General features: G+C 52.1%; 2 protein-coding genes and 2 long non-coding RNA genes across 8 annotated transcripts in view, besides 6 other annotated features; 2 read left to right on the top strand and 2 right to left on the bottom strand.

The window, feature by feature from the left end:
- Nucleotides 248-1,447: an enhancer, noted in NCBI's record as "BRD4-independent group 4 enhancer chr22:45264084-45265283 (GRCh37/hg19 assembly coordinates)". NCBI's record gives its function as "activates an origin of replication core promoter dependent on BRD2, P300/CBP, MED14 and CDK7 cofactors, and independent of BRD4, by STARR-seq in HCT116 cells {active_cell/tissue: HCT116}" and the evidence as "EXISTENCE:reporter gene assay evidence [ECO:0000049][PMID:35650434]".
- Nucleotides 248-2,315: a biological region, named in NCBI's record as "BRD4-independent group 4 enhancer GRCh37_chr22:45264084-45265283".
- Nucleotides 491-1,402: an enhancer, noted in NCBI's record as "H3K27ac-H3K4me1 hESC enhancer chr22:45264129-45265040 (GRCh37/hg19 assembly coordinates)". NCBI's record gives its function as "activates a minimal SCP1, AML or CMV promoter by ChIP-STARR-seq in naive H9 embryonic stem cells {active_cell/tissue: H9 hESC(naive)}" and the evidence as "EXISTENCE:reporter gene assay evidence [ECO:0000049][PMID:30033119]".
- Nucleotides 1,403-2,315: an enhancer, noted in NCBI's record as "H3K4me1 hESC enhancer chr22:45263216-45264128 (GRCh37/hg19 assembly coordinates)". NCBI's record gives its function as "activates a minimal SCP1, AML or CMV promoter by ChIP-STARR-seq in naive H9 embryonic stem cells {active_cell/tissue: H9 hESC(naive)}" and the evidence as "EXISTENCE:reporter gene assay evidence [ECO:0000049][PMID:30033119]".
- Nucleotides 1,409-5,372, top strand: LOC124905133 (uncharacterized). Of its 2 annotated transcripts, XR_007068129.1 has the most exons (4): nucleotides 1,409-3,857; nucleotides 4,090-4,235; nucleotides 4,476-4,698; nucleotides 5,338-5,372. It is a non-coding gene; the product is annotated as an uncharacterized LOC124905133 (long non-coding RNA). The 2 variants fall into 2 exon arrangements; XR_007068128.1 differs by lacking the exon at nucleotides 5,338-5,372 and having other exon boundaries at nucleotides 4,476-4,880.
- Nucleotides 5,325-6,078: an enhancer, noted in NCBI's record as "H3K4me1 hESC enhancer chr22:45259453-45260206 (GRCh37/hg19 assembly coordinates)". NCBI's record gives its function as "activates a minimal SCP1, AML or CMV promoter by ChIP-STARR-seq in naive H9 embryonic stem cells {active_cell/tissue: H9 hESC(naive)}" and the evidence as "EXISTENCE:reporter gene assay evidence [ECO:0000049][PMID:30033119]".
- On the top strand, nucleotides 5,412-10,195 carry LOC105373062 (uncharacterized). Of its 2 annotated transcripts, XR_938302.3 has the most exons (4): nucleotides 5,412-5,542; nucleotides 6,030-6,200; nucleotides 6,440-6,663; nucleotides 10,168-10,195. It is a non-coding gene; the product is annotated as an uncharacterized LOC105373062 (long non-coding RNA). The 2 variants fall into 2 exon arrangements; XR_001755586.3 differs by lacking the exon at nucleotides 10,168-10,195 and having other exon boundaries at nucleotides 6,440-6,772.
- PRR5-ARHGAP8 (PRR5-ARHGAP8 readthrough) overlaps nucleotides 6,867-20,384 on the bottom strand; it is a 160,581-nt gene continuing 147,063 nt past the window's right edge. Inside the window, exons 14-15 of the mRNA NM_181334.6 lie at nucleotides 9,817-9,920; nucleotides 6,867-7,376 (exon numbers count right to left, since the gene is read on the bottom strand). Of these exons, the coding sequence (NP_851851.3) occupies nucleotides 7,056-7,376; nucleotides 9,817-9,920 (425 nt within the window). The 3' untranslated portion in view covers nucleotides 6,867-7,055. The remainder of the gene's footprint in view (nucleotides 7,377-9,816; nucleotides 9,921-20,384) is intronic.
- The window catches only part of ARHGAP8 (Rho GTPase activating protein 8), a 110,210-nt gene continuing 96,692 nt past the window's right edge, over nucleotides 6,867-20,384 (bottom strand). For 2 of the 3 annotated variants that reach the window (NM_001017526.2, NM_181335.3), the window contains 2 exons: nucleotides 9,817-9,920; nucleotides 6,867-7,376 (listed from right to left, as the gene is read on the bottom strand). In NM_001017526.2, coding sequence (NP_001017526.1) covers nucleotides 7,056-7,376; nucleotides 9,817-9,920 — 425 coding nt within the window. In that variant the 3' untranslated portion in view covers nucleotides 6,867-7,055. The remainder of the gene's footprint in view (nucleotides 7,377-9,816; nucleotides 9,921-20,384) is intronic. The other variant, NM_001198726.2, reaches the window with a different exon arrangement.
- Nucleotides 9,603-10,297: an enhancer, noted in NCBI's record as "H3K27ac-H3K4me1 hESC enhancer chr22:45255234-45255928 (GRCh37/hg19 assembly coordinates)". NCBI's record gives its function as "activates a minimal SCP1, AML or CMV promoter by ChIP-STARR-seq in primed H9 embryonic stem cells {active_cell/tissue: H9 hESC(primed)}" and the evidence as "EXISTENCE:reporter gene assay evidence [ECO:0000049][PMID:30033119]".

Genomic DNA, 20,384 nt, shown 5'->3' with positions numbered 1-20,384 from the left:
TTCTCATGTGCACACTAGGAATGAGAATATCAGAGGGCACACAGACCTACTCCAGTGTCCTCACAGGAGAAACTCATCCAGTAGGATTAATATTCCTGGCCTCCCCATGCCTCCTCCCATGGGAAGAGTAGAGAATATTCTGACTGTCACTCCCCAGAGAGGAAGCCAGGCCTGGTTAGCTGTGCCAGTCCTCAAGAGCCAGCTGTCTGCAGGGCCAGTGACCGGGCGGTGAGTCCGTCTGAATCACAGTGACCAGTTAGCAAAGGCCCTCATCCACAGATCAGGGCCTCTGGGCAGCTGTAGGGAAACTTCAGTTTCCACCTGTGGGCCTCCTGAAAGACCGCTTTCTCAATTTGTTACAGTAGTAGCTAGTCAGACGGGAGCGGGGCAGGGGAGGGCTCCCCCCACCCCCACTAGGAGAGTCAGGTGGCCACGTGATGGCAGGCAGTTGTTACTGTTTCTCTATAATTGTAATTGTTTGCAGCCAGAACCAGGGAACGCAGCCTCTGAATAGAATCACCTGAAGCTGGTGCCATGGTAATAAGCTTCCCCCGACAAAGATCTCAGGAGTTGGGCGAGCGAGTTCACACACGAGCACTAGGAGGCAAAATGGTGGAATTTAACTTGTGTTTGACCTCATGGGAACGAGGAGAGAAGCCACTTCTCTTACTGTCTCCTGTCTCTGAAGAGGAGGAGGAAGTAAACGTTGAAAAACAACAGGAATGAAGTCAGTGGCAAGACCAGCCGGTGCCACCGATGACCCGGCCTGAGGTTAAAAGATTACCCCCCGACCTCTAACCACACGTGCTCTCAATCCATCACGACCCGTTCACGTGGAACCCCTTAGAGTTGTAAGCCCTTAAAAGGGCCAGGAACGGTGTCTTCGGCGAGGTCGGCTCTTAAGACGCGAGTCTGTCGGCGTTCCAGGCTGGATAAAAAACCTCGTCCTTCTTTAGTCTGGTGTCTGAGGAGTTTTGTCTGCGGCTCGTCCTGCTACAGGAGCGCTCGACGGGTAAGGGGAAAACACCCAGGCGAGCACGCACACAGCTCCGGTAAACACTGTGCGTGCTCCCCTCCAAAGTGCTGGCGGGCCTCTGTGCATGCGGACAGCCCACCCCAAGGGAGGAATCGGGAGAAGGCACACAGACCTCAGATGCCTGCCAACACATAAAACCTTTTTTTTTCTTGAGACAGTCTCACTTGTCACTCAAGCTGGAGTACAGTGGCGCAATCTCGTCTCACTGCAACCTCCGCCTCCCAGGTTCAAGTGATTCTCCTGCCTCCGCCTCCCAAGTAGCTGGGACTACAGGTGCCCACCCCCGCCGCCCCCCGTCCCCCTGCCCCCCACCTGGCTAATTTTTGTATTTTTAGTAGACACAGGGTTTCATCATGTTGGCCAGGCTGGTCTCGAACTCCTGACCTCAGGTAATCCACCCGCCTTGGCCTCCCAAAGTGCTGGGATTACAGGCGTGAGTCGCCGAGCCCGGCCAGTCGAACTCTTTCTTCTGAGGAGGTAAGGATTGAGATTGCTGCAGAACATAGGGATTCGTGGTCAGTAATATACCATGTGTCTGAGGTAGGTTCTCAGCTTGGGCAGAGAAGAGGGGTGTCATTTGGGGACTCCATCCGCAGCTGGGATGGCACGAGGCTTACCAGGGGGTGTAACGGCCACTCTGCAACCCTCCCTATCTCTGTCCCCATGCCCATGACCCTGCACCATCCATGTTCTGAAGGCAGGGCCAGCTCAGCGCCCACCAGCACCGAGCTGCTACTGAGCCGCCCTCTCTCCTAGAAGGAAAATGGATTCAGCTAGTGGCTCCCCACCAGACTGGCACCCTCGCGACTCATCCCCGCCATTGGTAAAGGAATGACCGGGCCTCAGGGGCATGGTGCTGCCACCTGGACGTCAGACAGAATCGGAGTTGGAGGCTGGTTGGGAGAAAGCAGAACCCTCTCCAGCTTGCCCTGGAGTGTGAGGTGCCCGCGGTGCACCGATAGGTCAACACCCCATGCAGGCACGAAGGAGATGGCAGCCACCAGGCTCGGTTGAAATATTCATTTCAAGGGAATTCCTTGTCCATTCAAATGACTGAACAACAGCTTGATTTCATGGAATAATGGCTTTTATTAAGAAGCCAACAGGAATGATCACAGTGGGGAGTCTTGTGTCTTGGCAGTGGGTGTTTGTAGAGCACCCAGTGTTCACCAGCAACTCTGTGCAAGTCTCGGAGGGTGGTTGGTGTGTTGGAGGATGTGGGTATACAGTAGCATGGGCATGCATGTGCATACGTGTTCATACATGCACCTGCAGCGGGAACTTGGTGAATACTTGTTGGTTGGTGTGTTTTTTTGTTTTTTTTTTTTTTTGAGATGGAGTTTTGCTCTTGTTGCCCAGGCTGGAGTGCAATGGCGCCATCTTGGCTCACTGCAACCTGTCTTCCCAGTTCAAGCAATTCTCCTGCTTCGGCCTCCCAAGTAGCTGGGATTACAGGTGTGTGCCACTACACCTGGATAAATTTTTTTTTTCTTTTTTTTTTGTGGAGACAGGCTTTCACCATGTTGGATCAGGCTGGTCTCAAACTCCTGACCTCAAGTGATGCGCCTGCCTCGGCCTCCCCAACTGTTGGGATTACAGGCATGAGCCACTGTGCCTGGCTACTCGGTGGGTTTTGATTGGAAGGCTATGGAGCTCCAGTGGTAGATGTGGTTATAAGGGTAACTGGGGGGGGGGGTCTCAGAGTGGGGGCCAGTTGCATCAGGCCCCTGGAGGGTGGGACACTGCCTTTCCAAGAGCAACAAAGTGTGGGCGATTTGTGGTGCTGAGAATCGTGAGCAGGCAGTTCGTCTAGAGCAGGGTTGCAAACTTTTTCTGTAAAAGGCCAGATAGTAAATATGTTAGGCTTTGTGGGCCTTGTAGTCTCTGTTGCAACTACTCAGCTCTGCCCTGATGAGGCAAAAGCAGCCACAGGCAATGTACAAAATGTCCGTGGCTGTGTTCCAAGAAAACTTTATTGGCAAAAACAGGCAGTGGGCCAGATCTAAGCCATGGGCCGTAGTTTGCCAACCCCTGGTCTAGACCACTCCCATTTATAAAGTGATTCGGCTTTAGCAGCTTCCTGGAAGGTGGTGCTGCTGGCTGATAAAGCAGAGGGACGGAGCTTGCAGAATTCAGGTGATAGGGCTTGGATCTCAGTCCCCAGCGCATCTCATGTTGAATTGGAACCCTCAAGGTTGGAGGTGGGGACTGGTGGGAGGTGATTGGATCATGAGAGCAGATACCTCATGGGTTGGTGCTGTCCTCTAGACAGTGAGTGAGTTCTTACCAGATCTGGTTTAAAAGCATGTGGCACCTCTGCCCCACACTCTCTCTTGCTCCTGTTTTTGCCATGTGATGCGCCTCCTTCCTTTTTGCCGTCTGCCATGATTGGAAGCCTCCTGAGGCTTCCCCAGAAGTTGAACAGGTGCTAGTGGCATGCTTGTATAGCTTGCAGAACCATAAGCCAGTTAAACCTCTTTTCTTATAAATGACCGCATCTCAGGTATTTCTTCATAGCAATGCAAGAACGGCCAAACACAAAGTTTGCTGAGCAGAGACACACGGCCAGAAAGTTAAGTGGGGGTCTCAAGCCCGACTGTGGGACAGTCAGTCCATCTTCAGAGCTGTCCTCCCTACGCCCCTGTCCTCCCCCTGGGCCGGGATGCAGCGCTGCCCCTGGCCCCTCTGGAGCTCAGCAGGGAGCCCCATGCCCTTCCAGGTGTGGAGAGCAGCCTGCGCGTCACTCGCTGCCGCCCCATCCTACGGGGCACTGGAGCACAACTGTGTCGTCCTCCGCTACCTCATGGGCTTCCTGCACACGGTGAGTGGGCAAGGGGGGCGCTTGGGGTGAAGCCCAGTGGCCTTCCCTGCCATGCTGGGCCCGCATGGACCAGTCCCCTCCTTGCCCCGGGTCTGGGGTCATGCCCTACTTGGGCCTCGGAATACTACTTCCTGGCCACCAAGGACCTCATCCAAGGCCCGGTCAGGTACCCACGCTGCTGAGGGGACTTTTGTCCTCTGCTCCCCAGAACCTCCCCCATTTCTCCCTGCAGCAAGAGCTGGGGAGACCGCAGCGTGGGACTTGCGGGTAATCTCCCGCAGAGGCCTGTCACTCCTCCCCCACTGCCAGGTCTAGGTGGGCGCAGGACTCAGGCTTAAGCCAGTCGGAGCCTTCCCTGGCTGCAGCAATGGGTCCAAGGTGAGCATGTGACCTAGGCTTGTCCAATCAGGGCGAATCTGGGGCTTTTTTGCTGGGAATGTGGCACTAAGACGTTGTATCCTTCTCCGCCATATTTGATGGGCCCTGTGCTTCTATCTTGCCAGCCCGAGGAGTCAGCCTGCCTGAGACTGCAGAGTCCTGTCGCACCCCAGAGCCCTCGGGCAGCTTGGCTGTTTTATGCCCAATTCTTCACCCTCCCCCTATCCACCTCCTTTGCAGGGCCCTCCCACTGTGACCCTGGCCTCGGCCACCAGGCTTGCTTTGGCCAATGGGATGTGAGCATGCAGGACACCAGTCAAAGCATGAAAACTGCTTGCAGTAGCGCTTGTGTGTGCGCCTGGACCTGTGTTGTAAGAATGTGCCCCTTTTAGCCGTTGGAGGATTTGGGACACCTGCAGGAGAACAGAGTCACCCTGGCTGACAGCCAGCTCAGCCAGGACATGTAAGCCATCCCCTCAAAAGACCAATAGAACCACCCAGCTGACCCACTGACTCATGGGCAGTAATGACCAGCAGTTGCTTTCAGTGACTGGGCTTGGGCATCCCCCTGGCCCCACTGCCCCCCTGCCTGGCTAATTTTCATATTTTGAGTAGACAAGTAAACACAAGGTTTCACCATGTTGGCCAGGCTGGTCTTGAACTCTGGACCTCAAGTGATCCACCTGCCTTGGCCTCCCAAAGTGCTGGGATTACAGGCATGAGCCACTGTGCCCGGCCTACCCTAGGTCGAAGGTCAAACCACCCACTTGATCTCTCAAGTCGCCCGCTTGGTCTTCTTCCAAGGGTACTTTTCTTCCTTTCGTTCCTGCTTTAAAGTTTTTTAATACACTTTCACTCCTGCTCTAAAACTTGCCTCGGTCCTCGGTCTCTCACTCATCCTTATGCCCCTCAGTTGAACTCTCTTTTTTATTTTTTTGAGACGGAGTCTCACTCTGTTGCCCAGACTGGAATGCCCTGGCACGATCTTGGCTCACTGCAACCTCTGCCTCCCGGGTTCAAGCGATTCTCCTGCCTCGGCCTCCCGAGTAGCTGGGACTACAGGTGTGCTCCACCACACTTGGCTAATTTTTTGTATTTTTAGTAGAGACGGGGTTTCACCATGTTGGCCAGGCTGGTCTCGAACTCTTGACCTCAGGTGATGCAACTGCCTTGGCTTCCTAAAGTGCTGGGATTACAGGCGTGAGTCACCGCGCCCGGCCAGTCGAACTCTTTCTTCTGAGGAGGCAAGGATTGAGATTGCTGCAGAACATAGGCATTGGCCGTCAGTAATATACCGTGTGACTCAGGTAGGTTCTGAGCTTGGGCAGAGAAGAGGGGTGTCATTTGGGGACTCCATCCCCAGCTGGGATGGCACGAAGCTTACCAGGGGGTGTAACGGCCATTCTGCAACCCTCCCCATCCCTGTCCCCATGCCCGTGACCCTGTACCATCCATGTTCTGAAGGCAGGGCGTGGGGGGTCGCTCAGCAGCCACACGAGCCCCTCCCTTAAGGACAGCGAGCACCAGCAGGGTAGAACACACACAGCGGCAGATGAGGGGCAGGGGAATAATGGGAAGACACACAAGTGAAGAGGGAGGCCAGCGAGGAGACCGCACCCTCTAAGTTTCAGAGGAGAGCCCTGGGTGTGGGTTTGGCCTGGGGCTGCCAGTGATTCCCCCAAGCATCCTAACGCGTACCGGGGGTCCCGGCACAACTCGGTCAACACCCCAAGCAGGCACGGAGGGGCCACCATGGGGGATCTGTAGAGGGGACTTTTGTCCTTTGCTCCCCAGAACCTCCCCCGCTTCTCCCTGCATCAAGAGCTGGGGAGACGGCAGCGTGGGACTCGTGGGTAATCCCCTGCAGCGGCCTGCCACTCCTCCCCCACTGCCTGGTCTGGGTGGGGCACAAGACTCAGGCCTAAGCCAATCAGAGCCTTCCCTGGCTGCAGCAATGGGTCTAAGGTGAGCATGTGACCTAGGCTTGTCCAATCAGGGTGAACCTGGGGCTTTTTTGCTGGGACTGTGGCACTAAGAAGTTGTATCCTTCTCTACCATATCTGATGGAAATACAGGGCCCGTTTTGCCAGCCCAAGAGTCAGCCTGCCTGAGACTGCAGAGTCCTGTCGCACCCCAGAGCCCTCGGGCAGCTTGGCTGCTTTATGCCCAATTCTTCACCCTCCCCATATCCACCCCCTTTGCAGGGCCCTCCCTCTGTGACCCTGGCCTTGGCCACCAGGCTTGCTTTGGCCAATGAGATGTGAGCATACAGGACGCCAGTCAAAGCATGAAAACTGCTTGCAATAGCGCTTGTGTGTGCACCTGGACCTATGTTGTAAGAATGTGCCCCGTTTGGCCATTGGAAGGACTTGGGACACCTGGGGGAGAACAGAGTCACCCCAGCTGCCAGCCAGCTCAGCCAGGACATGTAAGTGACCCCCTCAAAAGACCAATAGAACCACCCAGCTGACCCACTGACTCCTGGGCAGTAACTTTCAGTGACTGGGCTTAGGTGGTGTGTTACACAGCAGTGTGGCAGCAGCAGGACCTGGCAGCCGTTAGCCACTCCATTCCTGTTTTCAGTTAAACCACATTGGGTTGGGATTCAAAACATCCATCCTAACAAATGCATTATTCTATCCCGGTCCACAGCTCAGGAACCATGGACAAGAGTCCAAGGACCAGAGGCATGGAGTTTTCATTAGAAGGTTCTGAATTCATCTAATGGCTGGTTATTTTTACAGATGCCAAGTTTACAAAACATACAAGTGCACAGACAGGTGTGGGAGGTAGCTCGAAATATACAGAGTGTTCGCAACACTAGAGACGTCTTCTGGCTGCCATCAGGGGACTCGGAGGTAGGGTAGGCTTGGTGAGGCCCGTGGCTTGTGTCCGTGGCACAGCCTCCTGCAAAGGGGCTGCCCTGCTCCCCTGTTCCCATGGTGCCAGGCCGTGCTCCCCAGGTGCCTCCGGGGTGCTGAAGATCTTTTCATAGTACTCGATCAGCAGTTCAGTGAACATGTTCAGGGGCACAAGGGCACTCAGGGAGGAGACCCCCTGGGATGGCCAGATCAAATTCAGCCCGAAGACACAGGCCAGGTTAGAGCTGTTCATTTTGTTGAAGATGCTCTCCCGGGACACCTGGAGGAAACCACACACAAGTAAAGGGGAGTGAACACCAAGGGGCACGGGCACCTGGAACTCCCTCCCGAACTTAGGGAGAGGCGTAGGTGTAGTGAGAGGAGCACTGGACTGGGAGCCGGCAGCCAGTAATGGGGACCCTGTGCAGCCACCTGCCCACTCAGGGCCTTAGTTACCCTATCTCTAAAAGGAAGGCTTGGCCTCCATGTCCTGGAGGACCCTCTGGCTCTGACCTTCTGTGACAGCCTCAACCCCCCACTATCTCCTCTTCCACTGCACCTTCTGGGGAGATGCAATCTTGGGGATGGGCTGTAGCACAGACGGTACGAACTTGGTGACCTCTCTGGCCTCGGCTCTGTGAGTGGCGAACTGGGCATGATGGGGACCAGCCAGCACATCTAGGGGCCACTACGAGGGGCAGGGAGAGTGGAAAGAGCTTGCCTGCTAGAAGGGGCTCCTTGTCCATCTCCGCCAACACGTGCAACCCCAGCACGGGGGAGTCATTACTCCCCATCTTACAGATGAGGAATCTGGGGCCTGGAAGGTACAGGAGACTTGCCCAAGGTCATGTGGCCAGCCAGTGGCAGGGGGCCATGTGGACCAACGTGAGGGCAGGGCCTGTTCTCTGCTCCTTGCCTCCCTACAAGATTCAAGCTGGGGGGAACCTCAGTCAGAAACAGGGGTCATGAGGCGGTGAGTACCAGGGCAGAGCAGAGAACTGGAGGGAGGCAGGGCCAGGCACCACCCTCACAGATCTGTTGAGGATGCTCAGGTGAGATGGCTGGATGCCTTTCAGGCTCCCCCTGGCTGCCGGTCCCCCAAGCCCGTTGCAGGTGTGCACCAGCCAGGCCCACTGCAGGCCACCCCTCCTCAAGCCGAGGCCCCCAGGTGCCACTGGGGTGATAACACGCAACACCACACCCCACCAGGTGCATTCACATCGGTGCCCATGGAGGTGGCGGCTAGAGAGAGAAATCAGTCTCTCCTAATGAAAAAGAAGTAGGCTGGGTGCAGTGGCTCACACCTGTAATCCCAGCACTCTTAAGAGGCCGAGGCAGGTGGATCACCTGAGGTCAGGAGTTCAAGATCAGCCTGGCCAATGTGACGAAACCCCATCTCTACTAAAAAAACAAAAATTAGCCGGGCATGGTGGTTCTCACCTGTAATCCCAGCTACGTGGGAGGCTGGGGTTGCAGTGAGCTGAGATTGCACCAGTGCACACCAGCTAGGGCAACAGAGCAAGACTGTCTCAAAAAATTTTTTTGAGAGAATTAGGAGAGTTTAGTTTTGGGCCTCTGAGAAATTATGTCAAGCAACAGGGAGAAAAAAAATTGTTGTAAAACCAAGAAGTGACATTCTCCAACAGACTCTGGGATGTGACGCCTACTCTGCTCAGGCTCTCCTCACCCTGCACAGCCTGGGGCGAAGGCCTGGAGAGATGGAGGGGGTTAAACATTCAAGGCCGTGGGTCTGGGGGTTGGGGGTGGACCCACGTGGATGTGTTGAACCTTCCCCTGTTGGCTGCACAGGTTTTTGCTCCAAATGGATCCCTGCCCCAGGGGGAGAGCACACTAAGCCCAGGCCCAGAGCACTGAAGGGTTTCTCTCTCTCTGGTCATTTGCTTAGCCTGGTGTGTAGTAGATTGAATGGTGGCCCCTCTAAGATAGACCACAGAGAATCTGACTGTGACCTTATTTGGAACGAGGGCCGTTGCAGCTGTCGTTGAGGATCTCAAGATGAGATCATCCCGCGTCATCTGGGTGGGTCCTAAACCCAGTGACATATGGCAGGGGGTCCACACTTAGGAGGGAAAGGTGGAGGGAGATTAGACACACACACAGACAAAGGCCAGGGGGGAGCTGGAGGCATAGCTGGAGTGACCAGGAGCTGGGAGAGGCCAGGAAGGGGAACCTTCCCTAGAGCCTCTGGAAGGAGCACAGCCCGCCACACCTTGCTTTTGGACTGCTAGCCTCTAGAAGAGTGACACAGTAAATCTGTTTTAAGGCACCCACGATGCAGTCACAGGAACTTAATGTACGTGGTTCTGGGTGTATCCCTTCCCCAGGAATGGTCAGCTCAGTCCACTGGGCTCTGTACCAGTGGTGGACACAGCTCCCACCTCCTAGAGACTCAGCCCAAGCAGGAAATGACATGGGGGCAGAGGACCCCAATAACAAAAGTCACTGGCAATGGCTGAGGGACAGCAGGTACAGGAGCAGGCAGGGGCAGGTACGCCCTGTCTGACAGGCAGGAGGTCCGCAGCAGCATGGGTGCCTGACCAGGCCTTGGATGAGGTCCTTGGGGGGCAGGGAGTGGTATTCCGAGGCCCAAGCAGGGCATGACCCCAGACCCAGGGCAAGGAGGGGACTGGTCCATGCGGGCCCAGCATGGGAGGGAAGGCCACTGGGCTTCACCCCAAGCTCCCCCCTTCCCCACTCACCGCATGCAGGAAGCCCATGAGGTAGCGGAGGACGACGTAGTTGTGCTCTGGGAGGCTCCGTAAGATCTGGCGGCAGCCAGTGACACGCAGGCTGCTCTCCACACCTGGAAGGGCATGGGGCTCCCTGCTGAGCTCCAGAGGGGCCAGGGGCAGCGCTGCATCCCGGCCCGGGAGGAGAACAGGGGTGTAGGAAGGACAGCTCTGAGGATGGACTATCCCACATTTGGGCTTGGGACCCCCACTTATCTTCTGGCCGTATGGCTCTGCTCAGCAAACCTGTGTGTTTGGCTATTCTTGCTGAGATGGGGTTATTTATAAGAAAAGAGGTTTAACTGGCTCATGGTTCTACAGGCTGTACAAGCATGGCACCAGCACCTGTTCAGCTTCTGGAGAAGCCTCAGGAGGCTTCCAATTATGGCAGAAGGCAAAAAGGAAGGAGGTGCATCACGTGGCAAAAACAGGAGCAAGAGAGAGTGGGACAGAGGTGCCACATGCTTTTAAACCAGATCTGGTAAGAACTCACTATCTCGAGGACAGCACCAACCCATGAGGTATCTGCCCTCATGATCCAATCACCTGCCACCAGTCCCCACCTCCAAAGTTTCAATTCAACATGAGACGCGCTGGGGACTCAGATCCAAGCCCTATCATCACCTGAATTCTACAAGCTCCATCCCTCTGCTTTATCAGCCAGCAGCACCACCTTCCAGGAAGCTGCTAAAGCCGAATCACTTTATAAATGGGAGTGGTCTAGACCAGGGGTTGGCAAACTACGGCCCATGGCTTAGATCTGGCCCACTGCCTGTTTTTGCCAATAACGTTTTCTTGGAACACAGCCACGGACATTTTGTACATTGCCTGTGGCTGCTTTTGCCTCATCAGGGCAGAGCTGAGTAGTTGCAACAGAGACTACAAGGCCCACAAAGCCTAACATATTTACTATCTGGCCTTTTACAGAAAAAGTTTGCAACCCTGCTCTAGACGAACTGCCTGCTCAGGATTCTCAGCACCACAAATCGCCCACACTTTGTTGCTCTTGGAAAGGCAGTGTCCCACCCTCCAGGGGCCTGATGCAACTGGCCCCCACTCTGAGACCCCCCAGTTACCCTTATAACCACATCTACCACTGGAGCTCCATAGCCTTCCAGTCAAAACCCACCAACCAGCCAGGCACAGTGGCTCATGCCTGTAATCCCAACACTTTGGGAGGCCGAGGCAGGCACATCACTTGAGGTCAGGAGTGCGAGACCAGCCTGACCCAACATGGTGAAACCCTGTTACTTAAAAAAAAAAAAAAAAAAGCCGGGTATGGTGGCACACACCTGTAATCCCAGAGCTACATGGGAGGCTGAAGCTGGAGAATTGCTTGAACTCAGAAGACAGAGGCTGCACTGAGCCGAGATGGTGCCATTGCACTCCAGCCTGGGCAACAAGAGTGAAACTCCATCTCAAAAAAAAAAAAAAACCACCACCAACCAACAAGTATTCACCAAGTTCCCGCTGCGGGTGCATGTGTGAACATGTATGCACATGTGTGCACTCAGCCACATGCATGCCTATGCTACTGTGTACCCACATCCTCCAACACACCAATCACCCTCCCACTGAGCCTTGCACAGAGTTGCTGGTGACCACCGGGTGCTCTACAAACACCCACTGCCAGGACACAAGACTCCCCACTATGATCATTCCTGTTGGCTTCTTAATAAAAGCCATTATTCCATGAAATCAAGCTGTTGTTCAGTCATTTGAATGGACAAGGAATTCCCTTGAAATGAGTATTTCAACCGAGCCAGGTGGCTGCCATTTCCTTCTCTGGGTGTTGTGCCTGAACCTTATCTACGAATTATGGTCCCAAGTGGGTACTGGTGCAGGTCACCCTCAGCTCTGTGGTCCCTCTGAGAATACCTGCTGGCAAGTAGGCAGGACTGGTGAGCTGAGCGTCACAACCGCCAATGTCACTGAGCACTCCCTATGAGGGAGCAAGAGGTCAAGCATTTCAACCACCCCAGTGTAGAGAGAGGAGGAAAGAGAGCTCTGAGAGGTTAGGTGACTAGCCCGAGGTCACACAGCTTGCATGTGGGAGGCTGGGCCTCGAGGACTCTCTGACCTCCCCTTTCTCCTCTGGAGCAGGCCATGAGATCATCCTATGAGAGGCGCCTTCCCTATACCCAGAGGGAAGGGGCAAACTCATCTCTGAAGATGGCATGTCCCCCTAGTTTCCTGCCCCAGGCTCACTCCCCTGTCCGTCGCACTTCCCACGCCTCTCCACTCTTCTTCCAACCTGGCATCAGCACACTCAGTGGACTGGATCTCTGGGCCTTCGTTTCCTTACGAAGGTACCCATGTCATGTGCAACTTCTAGTAAATAAACTGGTATGTTTTTCTCTTGTGAATCTGTCTTTTGTTAGTCCAAGCAACAGGGCCCCCACCAAGGAACCTAAGATGGGGAGAAGGAAAAGATTTTGACCCTCCCTGCAGTTTCTAGTCATGGGGATGAGGTACCCTTGGCTGGAACACCTCACTTGGTCTGGGAGCTGCACAGAGAGCCAGGACCCCTGGTAGAGCCGGCCAAAAGAAAGAATTCTTACTCAAGACTGGTCGTGGTGGCTCACACCTATAATACCAGCACTTTCAGAGGCCGAGGTGGGTGAATCACCTGAGGTCAGGAGTTTGAGACCAGCCTGACCAACATGCAGAAACCCCATCTCTACTAAAAATACAAAATTAGCCGGGTGTGGTGGTGGGCACCTGTAATCCCAGCTACTTGGGAGGCTGAGGCAACAGAGTCATTTGAACCCGGGAGGCAGAGGTTGCAGTGAGCCGAGATTGCACCATTGCACTCCAGCCTTTGCGACAAGAGCAAAACTCCGTCTCAAAAAAAAAAAAAGAATTCTTACTCAAGTCAGCCTCCCAGATTTCTGTCTGCAGCGCGACTGTGTGAGGGTGGTCAAAGTCTCTTTGTTTTCTTCCTTTCTGAATTTGGACCAGCAGAGCCACATTCGGAAGAATGGGTTCTTTGGTTTTGACTTCAGCGCATCTGATCTCGAGGAGTCCTCGGTGATCTTCAGCCTCCCAGGAAGAGTCACTGTTTGCCTTTGTCTCTGTCTCTTGGGTCCTTTGTTGTGAAGAGGAGAATCATGGGATACGATTCTCCTTTCGTCTTGTTTTGTGTCCTGAGAACTTGCCTTTATGGCCAGTTTGGCTTCCAAATGCCTGGGGGAACAGCCAATGGTCAGGATGTAGCCCCAAGAATTTACAGGCCGGGCGCGGTGGCTCACGCCTTTAATCCCAGCACTTTGGAAGGCCGAGACGGATGGATCACCTGAGATCAGGAGTTCAAGACCAGCCTGGCCAACACGGTGAAACCCCGTCTCTACTAAAAATACAAAAATTAGCCAGGCGTGGTGGCGGGTGCCTGTAATCCCAGATACTTGGGAGCCTGAGGCAGGACAATCACTTGAACCCGGGAGGCAGAGGTTGTAGTGAGTAGAGAATCTCAGCCACTGCACTCTGGCCTGGGCAACAGAGTGAGACTTTGTCTCAAAAAAAAAAAAAAAAAAAAAAAAAAAAAAAAAAAGGGAATTTATAGCTGGCCAGACAGTAATGTGAGCTGCACTCTGATATGTTGGATGATGTTGCCTGTAAACCTCACATTGAAATGTAATCCCCAATGTGGGAGGTGGGGATGGGTGACGGGTGATTAAATCATGGGGACAGATTTCTCATAAATGGTTAGCACCATCTCTTTGGTGCTGTTCTCATGAGAGTGAGTGATTTCTCAAGAGATCTGGTTAAGTGTGTGGCATGACCTCACCCCATCTTGCTCCCACTCGCACTGCGTGAGACACCTGCTCCTCCTTTGCCCTCCGTCATAATTGAAAGCTTCCTGAGGCCTCCCTGGAAGCCAAGCAGATGCCAACACCGTGCTTCCTATAAAGCCTACAGAAACATGAGCCAATTAAACTTCTTTATAAATTACCCAGCCTCAGGTATTTCTTCATAGCAACACAGACTCGGCGACAGCTGACATCCTACCAGCCATCACCAGCTCTGAGGGCGCTTGTCTTTCTTTTGGCTATCTGTGGGGTAACTTTGGATCCTGGGGGACTCTGAGAACATCTCTTGTATCCATGGCCACAAAAAGTCTTATGGGTTTCGAGTTACATTGGATTAGGTACACCTTTGGTTAAAAACAACAAAACAAAACAAAACAAAAAACAAGGTTAAAAGGACTATTTGGAAACAAACTGGCCAAAGAAAAAAATCTTTAGGGCCTTCTCCTGAAATACTGATAACAACTTTCACCCTCAACAGGTAATCTTAACTTGTATGAAACTATGTATGAAAGTTATAAGATCTTGGTTTGTGGCCAGGCATAGTGGCTCATGCCTGTCATCCCAGCACTTTGGGAGGCTGAGGTGGGGAGATCACTTGAGCCCAGGAGTTTGAAACCAGCCTGGGCAACATGGTGAGACCCTGTCTTTACAAAAAAATATTTAAAAATTAGCTGGGTGTGGTAGTGCATGCCTCAGCTACTTGGGAGGCTGAGGTGGGAGGATTGCTTGAGCCCAGAGGTCAAGGAGAAGGAGACCCTGTCTTAAAAAAAAATTCTTTTTTTCTTTGCAGATCTATGTTATGTCTACGCATGTATGTTATGTATACGTGAAATTATTCTCCCTCTGATGGTATTACCAAGTTAATTTATAAAATCCCTTAAAGGAGTTCTATTCAAATTGGCTTAGAGATACATGAGCATTTATATAAAACATTTCTAAAGCTCTCAGAAATATAGAAACTAAGCCAAACATTCTTTTCAAGTTCTTGTGACTTGAGTAACTCTGACAAGATTAGTCTGATATTGTTAGTTTATTAAAAACAGCTGTATAGGTTGGGCACGGTGGCTCACGCCTGTAATCCCAGCACTTCGGGAGGCCAAGGCGGGCAGATCACCTGAGGTCAGGAGCTCAAGACAAGCCTGGCCAACATGGCAACATGGTGAAACCCCGTCTCTACAACAATACAAAAATCAGCCAGGCAAGATGGCCGGTGCCTGTAATCCCAGCTACTCGGGAGGCTGAGGTGGGAGAATTGCTTGAACCCAGGAGCCAGAGGTTGCAGTGAGCTGAGATGGTGCCATTGCACTCCAGCCTGGGCAACAGAGCGAGACTCCATCTCAACACAAAAACAAAACAAAAAAACCAGCTGCATCTTCTGAGTTACCCATATTAAGTATAATCCAAGCATACATCTTTATGTAGTTGGGCTTACTAGTGAAGTAGGGTTAAAAATGCATAACAAGGGCCTGGCATGGTGGCTCATGCCTATAATCCCAGCACTTTAGGAGGTTGAGGTGGGTGGATCATTTGAGGTCAGGAGTTCAAGACTAGCCTGGGCAACATGGTGAAGCCCGTCTCTACTAAAAATACAATTAGCTGGGTGTGGCGGCGCACACCTGTAATCCCAGCTACTCCGGAGGCTGAGGCAGATGGATCACTTGAGCCCAGGAGGCAGAAGTTGTAATGAGCCAAGATCAGGCCACTGCACTCCAACCTGGGCAACAAAGCAAGACTCCGTCTCAAAAAAAAAAAAAAAAAGATACAAGGGGAATTCCTTGAAATGACAACTAGCCTTATTCAGTGTTATGTATGACGTTACAGTGAGTAAGCAAGGCCGCTTCCTGGCAGGCCCAGGAAACTTAAAATATATTGAGAACCTTGAGAAGAGAGGAATTCTCTCAAATCTACAGATACTGCAGGCAAAGTCTGATGGTTTTTTTTTTTTTTTTTTTTTTTTTTTTTTTTTTTTTTGAGACAGAGTCTCGCTGTGTCCCAGGCTGGAGTGCAATGGTGAGATCTCAGCTCACTGCAACCTCTGCCTCCCGGGTTCAAGCGATCCTCCTGCCTCAGCCTCCCGAGTAGCTGGGATTACAGGTGCATGCCACCATGCCTGGCTAATTCTGTATTTTTAGTAGAGATGGGATTTCTCCATGTTGGTCAGACTGGTCTCAAACTCCCAACCTCAGGTGATCCACCCGCCTTGGTCTCCCAAAGTGCTAGGATTACAGGCGTGAACCACCGCAGCTGGCCCTGATGGCAAATTTTTAACTTGGCTTTCTAGCCTCAAGAGGCTTTTAAAAAGTGAATCTGAGATTCCTTATTAAAAGTTCTAGCAAGGTAGACTTAAAAAGAGCCGACATAGGTCAATTCCCATTCTTGCTGCCCTTATGTAAATAATCAGGCCAAATTCTAATGAAACCAGACTTATTTTGTAACTGAGAATCAAGAGAGAAGCAACGGTACAGAGAAATGATGCTCCCGTGGAAAACTACGGCGCACGCTTGCGGGTTCTCAGTTCCTCTCCTTTCCTCCAATATCTGGCTACGACGCTCCAAGCTAACATTTCCAGTTTTCTCCTACCCCCTGAGTTGGCATGACAAAGAACTAAAACCTGCCATTTCCCCAAAGCCCCAAAAGCTGACGCTGGAAGACTTGATATAAACTTCAGAGAAATCACAGCAGATGATGTACGGATAGTCCTTGTGCCTCCTACTCAGTCTGCTCAGAAAGTTCACCGGAACACCCAGTGCCATCACCAAAGACATCTAAATTGCAAACTATGGAATTCACTGGCCAGCTGCTGCCACTCTCTCTCTACCATGAAAGGATACTTCAAGCCAACATCTAGGAATCTTCTCAACTAAATGTTCTCCTGACTAAAAAAATGGAGTTTAGGCCGGACACGGTGGCTCATGCCTGTAATCCCAGCACTTTGGGAGGCTGAGGTGGGCGGATCACAAGGTCAGGAGATTGAGACCATCCTGGCTGACACAGTGAAATGCTGTCTCTACTAAAAATACAAAAAATTAGCCAGGCGTGGTGACACGGGCCTGTCGTCCCAGCTACTCGGCAGGCTGGGGCAGGAGAAAGGCTTGAACCTGGGAGGTGGAGGTTGCACTGAGCCGAGATCGTGCCACTGCACTCCAGCCTGAGTGAGAGTGAGACTTCACCTCAAAAACAAAACAAACAAACAAAAAACAAAATAAAAAAAATCCCCGGAACTTATGGTTTGTTCAAACCACTGAACTTCATGTTTGTTGACAAAGAAAGGCCCCTTATTAACAGGCTGACTTAGGTAGTCACCCTACTCCCACCTCCACCGCTACCTCCTGAATTGAGACACAACTCTTTCCCTGGAGTGACCTAGTCACAGCACTGAGAGAAGGATTCATGCAACATGAGACAATCTACCAACTCAGTTTCTGGACTGTAAAACTTCCTGGGGAAAGTTCCAGATGGGGGAATGCTGGGGTCCGGAACACTACTGTCCCAAATATGGAGCCTGGGCATGCTGAATATGTTATTGAGCTGAAGGAATCTAAGAAAGGCAGGTGTGGGAAGGGCTCTCTCTGACTCCCCCTACTTCTGTGTAGCAGATCATAAAACCTTCTAATGGGAGGGGGTCTTCCCTATGTCCAGAGGGTGCCTTATCTCTAAAGACGGCGGAATGACAAAAGGAATTGAAGCTCCATGACTTTCCACTCTTCACCAAACCTAGTATCAAAACATTCGGGCTGAACCATGTCTTCACCTTCCTTCACCTTCCTTCCTCCCTTCCTTTTTTTTTTTTTTTTTTTTTTTTTTTTGACAAAGTCTCACTCTGTCGCCCAGGCTGGAGTGCAGCAGTGCGATCTCGGCTCACTACAACCTCTGCCTCCTGGGTTCAAAGCAGTTCTCGTGCCTCAGCCTCCTGAGTAGCTAGGATTACAGGTGTCCACCACCACGCCCAGCTAATTTTTGTATTTTTAGTGGAGACGGGGTTTCACCATGTTGGCCAGGCTGATCTCAAACTCCTGACCTCAGGTGATCCACCCACCTTGGCTTCCCGAAGTGCTGAGTTTACAGGAGTGAGCCACTGCACCCGGCCCATTTTCTTTATTTCTTTTCTTTCTTGCTTGCTTTCCTCCCTCCCTCCCTCCATCATTCCTTCTGTTTTGGGGACATGGTCTTGCTCTTTTGTCCAGGCTGGAGTACAGTGGTGTGATCATGGCTCACTGTAGCCTCCAACTCCCAGGCTCAGGTGATCTCCCACCTCAGCCTCCTGAGCAGCTGGGACTACAGGCATACACTACCAAGCCCAGCCAATTTTTAAAATCTTTTGTAGAGATGGGGTCTCACTATGTTTCCCAGGCTGGACTCAAACTCTTGGACTCAAACTCTTGGACTCAAGTGATCTTTCTGCCTTGGCCTCCCAAAGTGCTGGGATTACAGGCATGAGCCACCATGCCCAGCCTGGGTCTTCATTTTCTTCATTTTCATAAAGGTTCCCATGTCAGGTGGAGGTTGCAGTGTGCCGAGATTATGCCACGGCACTCCAGCCTGGGCGACAGAGCGAGACACTGTCTCAAAAATTAAATAAATAAATAAATAAATAAATAAATATTTAAAAGGCTCCTGTGTCATGTAAAACTTACATTAAATAAACTGGCATGCTTTTCTCGTGTGAATCTGTCTTTTGTCAGAATAACAAGTTACAGGGTTCCCACCAATGAACCTAAGACGGGTAGCAGGAAAGGATTTTTTCCTTCCCAACAGAGGGTTGCTTAATATGACTACGCTCTCCAGGTTTGTTAATTGGTGCCTATCCGGAAGTGGACAAATGTCTGGTATCTTTATGACCGGAGGCAGTGGTGCAAGCCAGAGCTGGGTCCTTCCCTCCCCGGGGACTGGGAGGCAGAGGTAGCACTTTGAATGTTTTCATTTCAAAGAGATGGCTCTCAGGTCCTTGACATAGCTCTGGGTGGTAGATGATTTTCATCTCAAAGGACAGATAAAGGATTCATAATTGCAAGCTTTTTTTTTTTTTTTTTTTGAGATGGAGTCTTGTTCTGTCACCTAGGCTGCAGTGCAATGGCACGATCCTGGCTCACTACAACCTCTGCCTCCTGGGTTCAAGTCATTCTCCTGCCTCAGCCTCCTGAGTAGCTGGGATTACAGGCGTGCACCACCACGCTTGGCTAATTTTTGTATTTTAGTAGAGACAGGGTTTTGCCATGTTGACCAGGCTGGTCTTGAACTCCTATGACAAGTGATCCACCCAACTCAGCCTCTCAAAGTGCTGGGATTACAGGTGTGAGCCACCATGCCTGGCCCACAATTGCAAGCTTTCTAAAGGAACTGCTGCTCAAAGAGGGGTTCCAGGGCCTATCTCCCTGTCACCAGGTTTTGGCTGGAACAAACAGTAAGTTCGCCTGGCAGCATTGAGTTTTCTCAAGCAGGAACCTACAGAGGCTGGAGTCATCATCCCTCTGCAGGGGCTAATGAAGTTGGGAGGCTTCTGGAAGCTTCTCTCTAGGACACAGCCTGGCGCATTCAGGTGATGGAGCATTGTCCATCTTGCCTGCTCTGGCCCCGGCTGGTAGGATGCTGCTGAATGTAGTGCCTCCTTCTGTCTCCACCAGATAGGTACCTCTATGCGCATGATCAAATTTGTCTCCATGAGGCTCAGCCTGGCTCTGAACTCTCCCAGGCTTCCCATCCACTAGCCAAAGTCAGTCAGCCCTCAACATCTTTCATGGTCTTCCAGGGTGTAGGAGAGACCTTCCCCATCTCAGAAAGGGCGTTGCATTTGGCAGGCGCTTAGGAGCACTGCTGAGTAAATGGGTGTAAATTTGCCTTTGAGGGGAGTTTGGGGTCCAGCGACCTTGACAGGACGCCTTGAGACTGAAATCAGTCTCCAGCCCCATGCCCTCCCCAGAGGTCAGGCTGGTCTCACATCACTCAAAGCCCGCACCCTCTAACCATGTAATTGGTCTTTCTGGAATGGCCACCCCTACACCCCTATCTTGAGTCACACCATAACCATGAGTTACCATAAACCATCAGGGCCCCTGATGAGTGACAAAGGTAACTCCTGCCCCTTGGGAAAGTGCAAGGTTCAGAAGTCACCCCCCAGGGGCCAGGACAAAGGCCAGGCTGCCCTTTGGGCAAATGTGATTCTTGAATACACAGTGGGGTAGAAACATTGATTTTAAGATTCAAGATTTGTCTTTACGATATCTTAACCGAGCTGCTTCAGAATTCACACCAAAATCAGCTCCCCCCTTCGACTGTTAGTGCTCCAAGAAGAAAGGAGGGCGCTGGAGGTAGTCCCATTTGAAAAGACGGTGTTCGATGACTTAGATGAAGGCCTGAGGGGTTTTATGGTTCTTTCGAGGCATCACTTTCCTTAGCATTCACCAGTGTTTTGAGATGCTGTTACGGAGTTTTTTACGAGTCATCTGTGCTCAGCCACACTGAGCATTTGACCCATCACAAAGCGCCTGTAGGATCAGACACTATAGCTGCTCAGTTCCTGTGATATATGCTTGGCATCCTACAATGATCTGGGGAGAAATGCCGAGAGCCCTTTCTAGATGAGAGAGCTGAGGGTCTGGGGCCTGGGAGCGGTTACAGGCAGGACTTTGACCAGGATGATGAGCCCCAAATCTAGAGAGCCCCCCATCACCCTGCCTCCTGGCCCAGCTGTGCCTGAGAGACCGGCCTGGACAACCCTGACCGACCCCACCT

The sequence above is a fragment of the Homo sapiens genome, chromosome 22 (genome assembly GCF_000001405.40).
Source record: "Homo sapiens chromosome 22, GRCh38.p14 Primary Assembly".
Taxonomy (NCBI): Eukaryota; Metazoa; Chordata; class Mammalia; order Primates; family Hominidae; genus Homo; species Homo sapiens.
Note: the sequence above shows the minus strand (reverse complement) of the source record. Positions and strands in the feature narration are given on the sequence as shown.